The sequence below is a fragment of the Homo sapiens genome, chromosome 15 (assembly GCF_000001405.40).
Source record: "Homo sapiens chromosome 15, GRCh38.p14 Primary Assembly".
Taxonomy (NCBI): domain Eukaryota; kingdom Metazoa; phylum Chordata; class Mammalia; order Primates; family Hominidae; genus Homo; species Homo sapiens.
Window position 1 is genome coordinate 57,952,815 of NC_000015.10, and position 13,731 is coordinate 57,966,545.

At 43.4% G+C, this 13,731-nt stretch overlaps 1 protein-coding gene across 4 annotated transcripts in view, besides 1 other annotated feature; it reads right to left on the reverse strand.

Annotated features, from left to right (window-relative positions):
* ALDH1A2 (aldehyde dehydrogenase 1 family member A2) overlaps window positions 615-13,731 on the reverse strand; it is a 112,283-nt gene continuing 99,166 nt past the window's right edge. For all 4 annotated transcript variants that reach the window (NM_170696.3, NM_003888.4, NM_001206897.2 and 1 more), the window contains 6 exons: window positions 12,911-13,013; window positions 11,071-11,255; window positions 9,198-9,362; window positions 8,323-8,480; window positions 7,956-8,030; window positions 615-2,455 (listed from right to left, as the gene is read on the reverse strand). In NM_170696.3, coding sequence (NP_733797.1) covers window positions 2,383-2,455; window positions 7,956-8,030; window positions 8,323-8,480; window positions 9,198-9,362; window positions 11,071-11,255; window positions 12,911-13,013 — 759 coding nt within the window. In that variant the 3' untranslated portion in view covers window positions 615-2,382. The remainder of the gene's footprint in view (window positions 2,456-7,955; window positions 8,031-8,322; window positions 8,481-9,197; window positions 9,363-11,070; window positions 11,256-12,910; window positions 13,014-13,731) is intronic.
* Window positions 10,153-10,312: an enhancer, noted in NCBI's record as "active region_9465". NCBI's record gives its function as "activates an Ori minimal core promoter by ATAC-STARR-seq in GM12878 lymphoblastoid cells {active_cell/tissue: GM12878}" and the evidence as "EXISTENCE:reporter gene assay evidence [ECO:0000049][PMID:35858748]".

Here is a 13,731-nt window from a genome sequence, read left to right on the forward strand (position 1 = left end):
GGAGATTCCAAGGGCTGGAAGGAAAGGTGGGGAGCTGTGCGGTTCTAAAGGGTGGGAACCACTCCTCAAAAGCGCAACTCTGAGAACACACTGAGAGAAAACAAGCTCAATCTTGGTAGTAGTACGGTCACCATTTACAGATTTCTTTTTACAGCTGCAAAAATATTCCATCAGGTTATCAGCCTCTGACTTCATTTCACTTTGGTAAGTAAGTAAAAATAAAGCTACTGTGAAATGCCATCAGCAATGTGAGCTCACGGCGGGTAGTCCACGTTTGTGAAAACAGACCCTATAGACTGCTCTGCATTTTAGTTTTCATGGAGGCTATTCTAAAGGAAACTTGTTATTTCATATATTTCATATATGGTTATACTTACATGCCAGCTAAACTACACATGCACACAGATTTTAAATAGCATCAGAAAATAAGGTTTTTGTTTACCTTAATACCATTTACCAGTTGCCTTAATGAATTCTGTAAAAATACCCTTGCAGGCTTCTGCTCAGTTACCCAAGAGGGCAACACAGCTGAAAAACCCAGCAGCTGAGGAAGGACCCAAAGAGACTCAGTATGACCCAAAGACTTACAGACACAGCCAAACAATCCCAAGGAGTACACAATATAAATGCTTTATTGCTAGCACAGAGGTTTCTTTTTAAGTAAATTAAAAGAAATAAATCTTCATTTTCACATTTTTTGTTGCAGTCCAAAGGTAACTAGTTGGTTAGTGGCTATGTCCACTTGGACACATGCTACAGGAGGGCAGCATTCACATGGAAGCACTCAGAAATACGGCATCTGTCAGGGCTCACGGCACTGGGCTGCTGAATGCACTGTCGTTTGTAAATAACAGCAAGTGGAGACTTTAAAACATCATGGATAGATAAGAGTTATAAATAGAAAACTGGTACGGTTAAGAAGCAGAAGATCGTTAAATACAGAAGGCTATATATATGTTGCCCATATTCCACATACTCTGGGTTATGTTTGGTACTTTTAAATAAATGATCTGCATTTAGGTTAGAGACTGGATTGGATTTGACAGCTGGAAAGATGGAAGAAGGGATGGAAGAAGGAAAGGAAGCTAACACTTCCCACATCAAACTGGTGGAGTCACTGGAAAGCAGAAGAGGAGTATGTGGATGGGAAGAAAGGGAGGCGGGCCTGCTTTACTCCCTGCAAGCTGTAGGCCATGGCCTGCCCAGTGAGGGGCAAGAATGGGGTGTGACAGAGGAGCTCAGTGGAGCACGGCAGTCCTGGCACAATGGAACTTGGCAAATGGAAAAGGAAACCCCTAGGCTTGGCCAGATTTTCCAAGGTCACTGCCAATAGATACAGGGCACATTATGATAGATGTACAGTGTGACAGACCAAAATCACACCTGCAGCAGTTATTGGTGTAGAGGTTCAGAAGGTACAGATTCCAACTACAGAAATAATTCATTTAATAATAATTGTTGCCCAATATTAGAAACTGAATGATGTCTGCAAGGCATCCAGCATTATCAAATTCTTGGGCCTACTCGGATTGTTTTTTGGTTGGTTCTAAGAAAAACTTTGGAAAAGATCTTATCTAGCTATGAAAAACAACCCACTCCTTGCCTTATTCCAGAATAACTGAGAAGGAATCTAATACACACACACCCCAAAACTGCAGCAAGCTCAGAAGCGGTGAACTGCACATGATGACTTCCAGTCTCTATTGTCCCAATCTTTTTTCATTCATGTTATTTATGGGTAAAAGAAAACCAGATTGGGTCAGGAATATCCCAGGTTCTTACTACATCTGTAGTGTACCAGCTCCTGGCATTTTCATTCTGGTCTGACTCTAGCTAAAACCATTTCATGTTTTGCTTTGAAGAAATGGATAACATGAAATGATAATTTGGCTTTACAACCTTGAAAAATTGTTCCCGGCCCAAACATCTGCCCCAGAATGAGCTCAGCTGACATCTCCTTGGAAGAGAGGGAGGGGTGGGTGAGCGAGGAGGGCCTGGAAGGAGGAAAATGAAGACAGGAGAAAGGTCACCTTTCCTTGAGAGGAAAGTTCTTTGTGACAAAGACATGAAATAATACAGCTCCCTTATTTCATCCTGTGCTCCAGAAGGAGATACTGGATGTGTCTGCTAGCTCCTCCTCCTCCCTTTATCCCACTTTCCCCAATATTTGGTATGATTAAGGTGGCCCCTTACAGAGTGCCAAGAAACTGTACCCAGCTGGTTTGCTTTAGTTGTGCAGTGACCTGCCTGGCCTACATGTTATCTTTTCAATCTTTAAGTAAGGACCGTGGCTCAACTTTGTATTCCTGAGAGCTGGGCCCTACAGAGAAAGCAGAGAGGGACAGACGTGCAGGCTGGGCTTCATCCTCCTTCTTGGCCTTCTTAGGAGTTCTTCTGGGGGATCTTTACTGTCACCGTCTTAACTTCTGAGTACTCCCGCAAGCCAAATTCTCCCCTGAAACACAGAAATGGGCCGGGTCAGATACCAGAAGTCCAGGGAGCTGCATGTGAGTGCAGCGGGAGTCCTGGGGAGGTGCAGTTTATCACCTGCGAACAGCAAGTCCTGGGATGTTCATGTAAAAATTCCTCACGTATGCGCAGCCCAGCCTTCCTCTGAGGGTCAGAGAAACTGTCATCTCATGAGTAGTTTTTAAAGAAGTTTTTTTAAAACTTTAAAGTTTTTTAAAGTAGTTTTAAAGTTAAAAGGTGACTTGTTTTCACAATACTGCACAGACAGGCAATGACTCTCAATTACTCAGAGAACTACCATCAGCCTTGGCCAGAGGGCACACAGATGACCCCAGGCTGTGCTCAGAGGCTGAGTGCTGTGGGCAGCGGTGGGACCAGGCCCAGGTCTCTGAACGCCTTGGCCATGCCTCTCTCCACAAGGCAGCACTGGTTCAGTATTAGTTCTTTGGGACAGTAGTGTGCTTTCCTCCCCCAAGACGGAGGGTGGGAGTGGGTTGCATGTCTAAGTGTTCCTGTCCTTCTGCGTGTTTACTACAGTGCTCCTTCTCCTCCACATCTCTTCTCTATTCTCCTGTTCTTTTTGCCTTGTTTAAATGCCTTTTTTCCCCTTATCTAATCTATTTCATTATAAAATCACGCATGTTCTCCTCTTTTTCTTCTCTTCTTCTGAAAGTCACTCTTCAGTGATGCTTTTCCCAACAGCCTCAGGAGGAGCTCCTCTTTCGTCCTCTCTGTTCACAGAGCCCCTTGTTCACACCTCAACCACCACACTTATCACACTGGGAGGACAAGGGGCTTGAATATCTCTGTCTTCCCTACTGAGTTGTATCCTACTGATTTTTCTTTTTGCCTTCCACCAAACATAGGGTATAGCCTACAACAGCAGGCACAAAGAAGGTACCTGATGACCAAGGAAGGAAGGAAAGTAGAGAGGGGAGGAGGGAAGGAGGAAGGGCGAGCTTCCTATTCCCTCTTCCCAAGTTCTACCCTGTTGTCATATCTTCTAGATCAGGAAAAAATAAAAACAATTAGGAGATATATTTGAATATGAAACAATTAAATGATTAAGAAAGGCTGTCTTTTGAAACAGTCAGTGTACGAGTTACTGTGGCTGGGCTTTACAAGAGAGACCTGCTGTAAATGATTCATTCAGGTTCCTTTTAGGAGCCCCCATGGCCTACATAAGGCTCCAGGGGCTTTGCCAGCACCTCCTCTGAGCACCGTGGGCACCTGAGTTGACAGGGACAACAGAGGGCGGCCAAGGAGAGACTGGGGCAAGCAGGCTGTTCTCCTGTCCGTATAGTTCATTTCGCTTAAAGCAATGAGAGAAACCAACTGAAATTGCCCCACTCGTTGCATGCTTCCCTCATTAACTCCACTCAGTCTCGGAGTCTCTTTATTACCAGCTCAGCTCTGGCTCTCTCTGGTCATTTTCCTGTCCTTGGGCAATTCTGAATGTGTCTCTTCATCACGGACACCATGTGCATCCCATTTGAAGTGAATTTACTCCTTTGTTTCCTGGCTTCTGCACGCACTTGTTGGGGCAGGTCGCGAGCCACACTTCACCCCCATGTGACTCTCTAACTAGGTTGTGAGAAATGTAAGGAAGTCTACAGCATCAGAAACCTCACAATTATGGTTGCTTTCAAGTGTGACTGTTGGATCCTACCGTTTGGGTGTGTGATGCAATGGAAAACCCTGCTGGAGCAGAGCTGCTCCTCTCTGGGTCCTGAGCAGTGATCTGTGCACGGGGGAAGTGGACTCAAATCTGCTACCAAAAGAACTGCTCTGTGCCCAGGACATGAAGGAAAGCCAGTAAGCAGTCTTAGAGCAGCACGACTGAGGAGGCATGGAGGAGATAAAGAGCACTGAAGCTGGGGTCAGAGACAGGAGTGCCCACTCAGCTCTGCCATGAACCAGCTAAGGGATGCCAGCTGAGTCACTGTCATCCTCTTGGTGCCCAGTCATCTCTCCAGCAGTTCCTGAACCTCAGTATACATAAGTATCACCCAAAGAGCTTGGTTCAACTTTTGATTCTTGAACGCTACCCCCACCCCACAAAGATTCAGTTTCAGAAGCTCTACGGAGGGACCAGGAGACTGAGAGACAGATGGTCATGTGGGTCACACTTTGGGAAACATGCTCAGAGGTCATTGAGCCCTGAAGTCTCGATTCTTAAGCAATTTCACCATCTTGTTCCAGGATTTCTGTCGCATATTTATTTACTCCAGCTAAATTTTGTGGCACATACAGTTAACAGGGAAGAAGCTCACTGATGCACGAAAGGTATGCATATCATTACTGATGCAGCCCAATCTCTCTGTGTGGTTACCTTCACATCAGGACGAAACAGCAAGGCAAAATCACATTTAGAAGACTAGGTTCTAGTCCCTAAGATAAATCAAACTTGGCACACCTAGAGGCTTTAAGGTAACCTGTCAGTCAGTATTGGTAGCTCTTCGCCAGCCATTTTAGGACTCACTCAGACTTGCTCATAAAACAAGTAAGAGTTTCTGTTTAGGGTATATATTTTCCTGCTCTTTTACTTGACTTGCAGCAGCATTTTTCAGAGCGGAGTAAAGTCTCCAGACCATCAGCATCAGAGGAGCTTGCAGGTGGTCAGGACTGAGAGGGTGGGTGGGAGCGGGTCACCGGAAGGCAGGTTGCTTTCAAGGGTGACTGGTGGATCCCAGTGTTTGGGTGTGTGATGCAATGTAAAACCCTGCTGGAACGGAGGTGCTTCTCTGTGGGTCCTGGGCAGTGATGTATACTGGAGTCACTCTGGAAGCTTGTTAAAAACGCAGTTCCTGGGTCCTATCGCAGATCAACTAACTCAGAATCTCTGAGAGTGGGTCCCTAGATACGCATGCTTAACAAAACCATCACCCAGACTGGAGGTGACTTCTCTGTATGCATGCGTGTACACGCACGCACACACACACATAAATTTGACAAGCTCTGATTTAGAGTATCTAACAATGCTTCTCATTTTCAAAGCCAGTGTCCTGAGTTTTTAAAATGCTGAGGTTCACAGAATTCTTTCCATCTCCTCAGTTTGTGACATTTTATGGCTTGTGCTTTGCCACCCCTCATCTCAGGGGAGTTTGATAAGGAAGTAAGAAAAAGGACAGGAAAAGTGAAACAGGCAGAAATAGGTGGGCAGGAGGACCTGAGAAAAGCTCGTCTCTGAGCCTGGGAATTAAGAGGGCAGCCCTCCCCACAGCTCTCTGTGGGGAGACCTCGTGGGCTAGGTCAGCCCTCCTGGGAGTTTCCAGATGTTTCTGGAAGTGCCACTTCACGTCTCTGCTCCTCTTAGGGATAGACAGGGAGGTGTCAGGGACCAAAGCTGCATGGAGTTTGCAGGCCATGAGATAAATAATTCTGTGTAGACGGAGGATTAAGTGGAGTTTCTGAGGCTGTATCAAATGAGGTGGAAGAGTTGGGGACCAAGACAGAGCAGCTTCTTTTATTTGAAGCATTTTCTGTCACTCAGGGTCATTTAAGAAAGAGAAAACATGTTTTGGGGGTAAGTAGAGACAAACAAACAAACAAACATGCAATCTAGACAAGATGCAGTGGGTCTCATCAAAGAACAGCATTTCCTAATTATTTTTTAACTGCACTGAGAAGGTCCAATCACCATAGGGCCTGGAAGACAAGTAGAGAGAAATGGTTCTTCGGTCTCTTGAGCACTGTTATATGAGGTTCAGATAGAGCCAAACTGTCTCCTGGACCACCTTTCTGGGCAAGGAGAACATTTCTGATGGGAATAGACTAGACTCAGCTAATGTAACAAGTGTGCCCACAATGAGGGACCATGGATTAGCCTGGGATTAGGGTCCATCAACCAGCGATCATTTATTGAAAGTATATTTTATGCTCATGATTCACCCTGTTAATGATCTGTAACAAAACAATCAATGCAAGCAGCATTCCCAGAGCCAGTGACTGACCCCAGCATTTCAGAGACTGGGAGAGCACAGACATAGAGGAAGGAAATGAAATAAGAAGCGGAATGCATCTTGAAAAGTGGAAGCAGAAGGTGAAGGTCAAAAGCAAATGAAGACATACCTGGAGTGCATGAAGACTCTGTAAAAGCTGAAGGAATACTAAGAACTGAACAAATATGACCCAGATTGGTTATAGGTTCTGGCTGTCAGAACAGAAGTTGGTGACACCAGCTGGAATTTGGGGAAACTTCCGCCAAAGTTACAGGTTAAGAAAAAGAGGAATCATCTATATAACACTAATCTGCTTGATGAATAATGATGATTGCAGCTAACATTTTCTGAAGGCTTGCCAGATATTCTGTTGGATGTTTGCATACTTAATCCTTACACTTAATCCTCACAAGAACCCTGAGGTAGGTAGTATAATTATTCCCATCTTGGAGATGAGGTAACTGAGGCTTAGATTAAGTAATTTGTCCAAGGTTGCACAGGTAGTAATAGTGGCAGGATTCAAATCCGAGCAGTGTGATTCTAGAAACTGCTCTAATCTCCAAGCTATACCTACTTTATAGTTTTGCTTGGGAGCTTGAAATTACCAGTGAAACTATCTGAAGTATGTAAATCCTCTGCTCTAGTCTTGTTGGTTCACTGCATTTCTCCCACAAACACACACTACCGTTATTTTTCCCGCAATACCTTTACTCACTCTCCCCCACTGCTACCCTGTTTTGCCCGACAAACTTGAAAATATATTCCCCCTTCTCTATCCAAGCATTCCTCTTCTTGAAAGGCTGACACAAATCCCTGTAGCAGATCATATCTAAAGGTTTCCCAGATTTTTCCAGTTCACAGTGATCTTCCCTATCCCTGAGCTCCTCCATTGGTTTACAGTCTTTTCTGCGATTCCTCTGATTCTTTCAATGTTATTAGTTTTATTTACCCCAAAACATATTAAATGCCTTAAGGACCTGCATCTTCCTCCATAGACCAAGCACAGTGCTTTGTACATATTTATGCTCAATATTTGTTAGATTGTGAACTAGGCATTTGCTCAAAAAAATAGGCATTCAGTAATGGCTGAGGGAACGGGCATGAAACATGTTTCCTCTGTGAGTCACAGCATTTGGCAAATACAGATCAGTTTCTTTCAAAAGGAGGGAAAGTGGGTTCTTTTCCTGGATGTTACTTCCAGGAAAAACGGTTACTTCCTTTGTGAAGTCTTCTAGGACCCGAGCAGTCAAAATTAATTGATTTTTCTCTGTACTGACAAAATGTTTAACATACTTCTAATCATAGCCTTTACTACAGGGAATTAATGGTACATTAATTTTTTCCATTCTCACTTTGGGAAATGGAATTGTGTTTTATTCATCTCTATAACATGTAATAGAACTTAGCTTATAGTAGCATGTGCTCCACGAAATGTTTGTTGAATGTATGGATGAGTGTAAGATAATTAAACTATTTTTTAAGTACTGCTCTGTGCTGATATTTGCAATCTATTTCTCTGCAGGCATCAGCAACTTTAAGACTTACATTTCTCTCCCATTTCCAGACATCTTGAATCCCCCAAAGGGGCTCTGGGCATTTAAGGCATTGTAACAATTGATCCTGAAAGAAGAAAACATAGCACTGTGAGTTCGTGTGAAGTCTGAGCACATAATCTGACTGGCATGGTATTTCTTTTAGAAGTTTTATTTTTAAATTCCTTTCCTCCAGAGGAAAAAATTGTAATTTAAAATCTACTTTGATTTCTGGATCTAAGCAGTAAGGAGTGTACCCCTTTTCTGGTGAACTTTGGTTGCTTTTGGTATTCCCCATCCTTCCAAGGAGATACTTGTTTATTTCACCCTGGTCCCTATACCACCAGTGGAATTTGTTACAAGACTGACTCTGATCTTACCAAACAGTCCCAGCTTGCATTGCAGAAGACACTGTGAGGGCCTTGTTGATGTCATTAGTAAAGACAGCTGCTACGAGTCCAAAGTCTGAGTTATTGGCTCTTTCGATAACTTCATCCATCGTCTTAAATCTCAAAATTTCCTGAACAGGGCCAAAGATCTGCAAAAAGATAATATGACTCAACATGGTTGCTCTGTCATTCCTTTACCTGCTTTCCACATTTCAATGCAAGTTTACTCTGCCTTGATTACTTAAATGACCTTTAAGTTTAGCAGTACAAAACTGTAAAATCTCCCAACCTTTCCTAGGATAAGATTATGCAAGAAGAGTCTGACATTAGTGTTTAACCTCCCCAACTTCCCCAACCTCTCCAGCATCACTTGATTCCACTGTGTATACTAGGGGTGTCTTCTTTAGGTACAGAAGAGCAAGTGGCATCCTCCGTGATCCTGCAAACACTGCTCCAGAACGGAATGCTCTGGACTGTGGGCTGATTTGCTCCTTGTCCCTCTCTTGCACAGATGTAAAGATGCTTCAGTGGATTCTCTCTCCTGGTTAACATCCCAGTGACCCACATTTAGGAGAGCCGAACTATTGCCAGTGTATTGTTGAGGCCAATGGCAGGCTATTCTGATTGTTCTGTTGGCTAATAATAATCATAAGCACATAGCATGTCACCTGGCCTCCACCTAGCTTGCTTGTCTTTTGGTTTATTTTTCTTCTTGAAACTGGAATTTTCATAGCCATGTTCATTACTGTTGCAAAATGAATATATGTAAAATATAAAGAGCTAAAACTCTAATATCATCCACTAGAAATGCTCTAGAAATGATCCCAAGAAAGATGTGGCTTTTGTAAGAACAGCATATTTGATACCTCCTCCTTGGCAATCCGCATATCATCAGTGACGTTGGAAAACACTGTGGGCTCAATGAAAAACCCCTTTCGGCCCAGTCCTTTGCCTCCACATTCCAGCTTGGCGCCCTCAGCCACACCACTCTGGATGAGTTCCAAGATCTTGTTGTACTGTTTCTTATCAATCTGTGGGAGACAAGACTTAATGACTCCAAATATAACCTTCTATGAAAATGGAAATAAGTATGTTCTTGAGAATCTTTCATTTTAGGGTTTTTTTCAAAGTTTAACTACACCCAGTCAGATCATATAAAACTGCTGTTACTTACCAATTTTTGACCTACAAAAAACTGGCAATTTTGTATGGTTAATCCTAATATATCGACGATTCCAATAAATGTACTGCTCTGATGATATTGCCTAATCAGAAGTACCAGCTGAACATTTAGAAAAATGTTTCAAAATGATGGAGACACTGGCTAATTTACTATTCAATGTTCATATGAGGGAAAATTGACTTTTATAATTAAATGAGTAACTTAGCAAGTTGTATTGATAGTAAAAAGAGGCAAAAATTAGCACACAGCCTTTTTAGATAGTGCTACATACCCAATCTTATTGTGGTTTGTTTTTAAAGGAATTCCTATTACACTTTTAGAGGAACTTTAGAGGAAAATATTAACAGTAAAGAGTGAAGGATGAGCTTCCTAGTCCAAAAAAAAACAAGGTCAGTCTTCCCCCAAAAAACTGACGGAGTTATCATTTGCTTATTATGGTAAATAACACAAAAACCTACATTTACCCAAGTTTGAATGGCTCAGCCAGAACATCAATCTTCTCTTGAATAATCCCTAAACCCATGCTTTAGTGACCCATATAAGAGCTGGTCCAGGTTCCTTCTGAAAATTCTCAGAACCTGTCTACAGATTAAAACCAGAATTCCCTTTAGAAATATGCCTCGATGATTACGGTGAACCTGCAGAGGAGGCTGTTCAGGAGAGACTTTGTGGCCCTCCCCACCCCACTAAAGTACACGAGGCCTTCAGATTAAGAAATAACCATACAGCAAAAGGGAAGTGAGCCAGCCCTTCACTTCCTACACTTTCACAAGCTACAAGGGATCTGTCCAGACTGGTTCAGGCTGCTGGAGAGACTCCTTGGCAGCTCGTAAAAGGATAGATGGCTCTAGGAAAGAAAGATATCTACCCTCCTTGACTGTGGCATCTGTAGGGATGTCCTAAAGTTCAGTGATTGGAAGGACTGGGACTGGGTTCTAGTGTCCAGACCCATCTTGTCATACTCATGGCTTTCTTTAGAACTGAGAGACTCCAGCTTAGTCCCAAAGGTCAGAATATTCTTTTTTTTTTTTTTTTGAGACGGAGTCTTGCTCTTTCGCCCAGGCTGGTGGAGTGCAGTGGCACAGTCTGTAAGCTCCATCTCCCGGGTTCACGCCATTCTCCTACCTCAGCCTCCCGAGTAGCTGGGATTACAGGTACCCGCCACCTCGCCCGGCTAATTTTTTTTTTGTATTTTTAGTAGAGACAGGGTTTCACCATATTAGCCAGGATGGTCTCGATCTCCTGACCTCATGATCCGCCCGCCTCGGCCTCCCTAAAAGCTGAGATTACAGGCGTGAGCCACTGCGCCCGGCCAGAATATTCTTAAAGTAATGGTAATCCCATAGTTTTTCAGAGATAAAACTTAGAAAGGGACAGAGAAGCATAAGAAATAAGCAATCCCTCTCTGGCTCCATTTCCAGCCACGAAGACATGGTGGAGAATAAAGGAGTCAGCCGAAAAGGAAGATGTCGCTTTGCTGGGACCTACTACAGTGTACACAGTTCTGTGCCAGTCAAGGATTAAGTAAACAAAGGGAATGGTTATGATTTTTCTACCTGGGGACCCTGCTCAGTGGTGGGGTCAAAGGGACTCCCCACTACGCGCCTCTTGGCCCGCTCCACGCTTCTTCTCACAAACTCCTCATAGATGGACTCCTCCACGAAGATGCGAGAGCCTGCAGTGCAGCACTGACCTTGATTGAAGAACACACCCTGGTGGGCCTGCTCCACAGCATAGTCCACTACAAGAGGAAACAGCCATGTTCTCACCGCTTTGCCTGGGGAGGGGCCTGTCTATGAAGCCGCCTCCCTCCCCTCTCCAAAGCCCTAGGTATAGTGTGCTCACTGCATGACATAACCATGAATAGCCCTGGATTGGGAATGCAACTAGTTCTAACTACACCCTGACATGCTATGTGAACTTGAACAACTTCACTTCTTTGGGTCTCTTTCTTATTCTGCAAACAGAGGTACTGAACCTCGTGTATAACAGGAGTCTCAAACCCCTATATACCACAGGGCTTGGGAGATAAGGTACAGGTATGAGTCTGCCAGGTGGTAAAGCAATGTAATGGAGGGGCTAAGAAGGAAAGCCACTACATTTAATCATTGCCATGCATAAATATGAGCCCCAGGTTGCCAGATCCTCTCAATTTTCACAGAAATCAATATTTTAATGTGCAGTTCTTGTTTTGAACATAGTGTAATGTTTAGACAGGTAAACATGTCTATATTTTGTATTTGGCCAATTTACAACTCCTAAATCTACAGGGCCTTGGGGCTGTATGTTTGGTACTTGGGGGATTAAACCGTAACACCAATGGGTCTTCTTTGAAGACACTAAATTTCCTCTAGATTGACATGGACTTGTGTAAAATCCTATGATAACTCTTCCATATTCATCCCTTATATCTTACACTTCAAAACAGCTTAATCTGACGTGCATTAGTTGCTAAATGACCGACTGACTGAATAAATGAATCAGTCAATGTTAGGGAGATGAAGTTCCTACTCCTCAAGAGGAACAGGCATAAGGATTCTGATTTTCTTGACAACTAATATAAAGCTAAAGCTGAACTCTGCAAATTCCAAGCTGGTGCTGAAATTCAAGCAATCTGCTTTTGGTTTTCTGATCTCTCTGGTGGTGAGACTGGGAAAGCAGCTCTGCCTGGCAACAAGTGGAGGGAAAAAAAAAAAAGAATCACTGAATGAGATGGTGGGATTTCCTTACCTGGAGAGCTTTTCAAACAGAAACGTCACACCTGTGCAGAATGGCCTAGGTGGCATCCTTCCTAGAGACATGGGGTTTCTCAGTTACTTCTCTAAGCCTCTGTAAGGTCCTACTGGCAAGTGGAATCATCCCAGCTTTAGGACTACTCATACCGAACTGACCCACGTGTGCTGTCATCCTAACTGAAAGTCATGCGAGCAACAGAAAGGGGCTGGAATTGACTAAACAGAGAAGGGGCTGTGGGTTTGGAAAATGCTGGCAGGGCTGGTCAAGTCGGATTTATTTAAAATGGTCTACCAGCCACCAGGCACAGTTGAAAAGTTACAGATTTATTGAATCTAGGCAGAGAGACTATCCTTCAGGTGCTCAGCAGCTGAGACCACTGCTGTTGAACCATATGCCACTGACCAAGCCTTCATCTCATCCCCCTATTCTACAACATCACAGATTCAAAATGGCTCATTAGTGTCTAGAAAACAACTGGTTCAGTCGTCAACTGAAAAGTGCTCTTTCCCCATTATTAAACCATTTTCTCCTTAGAGGAGATCTTTTTGATTGCCCTTAGCTTCAAATATCTTTTGCTAGTGTCCCATCAAAAGTGGAGATATAAAAGAGAGCACCAAAGGGTGTGTGGTGGTTCATGTATGGGACCTGTAGTTGACTTACAGTCAGCATCAGCAAAAATAATATTAGGACTTTTGCCTCCAAGTTCCAGAGTTACTCTCTTCAAATTACTTCTTCCAGCTGCTTCTTGGATAAGCTTTCCAACCTGAAAGAAGGGAAATGGAGACAGGTTTTGCAAATCCTGCAGGTGAGACAGTCACCGGCCAATGCCAGCTCAGGGCATCAATGGGATGCAACAGTAACAAACCCTAAAAGGCAAGCCAACCCAGCTCTTGTCATCAGCTTGGGTTACAAGATGTAAGTTAGTGGGGTACAGTTTAATGTCCATGCTGGAGTGAACTGGAAGACAGCTTTAGTTTCGTGATGGAAGGACTAAGGAAAAGGGAGTTAAATCTGGAATCTTAATCACTGAAAGATTTCTCTAAAGACAACTGGCAAGAAAAATGTAACTGGAGATTTCAATCACTGCATTGTGGCCTTTAGCTTTGGACTCCGGCTCCAGAAAAAAGCCAACTGGTGCCACTTGAAAGATATCATGAGGATAAAACAAATTGTTCATGTATCTCCTAAAATGCCAGGCATGCTTTTTATTACATGCTCCAAAGAGACTATCAATATTACACCTTTGCCTCTGCCTAGAGCTACAGTAAAAGGATACCAGACAGTTGAGAATCTCTCTTTTTGTGCAATCTTGTAAATGCCGTTTATCTTGAATCCAAGTAAACAAGAGGCTGAGTTAGGAGAAAGCACTTGCCAATGAGTAGACTCACATTGGCAATGAAAATGAAAGTGTCATAATGGAAGCAAAGATCCACCACTTAGAGCCCCTGCTCAAGGCAGAACTCTACCTCAGTGATGGGGAA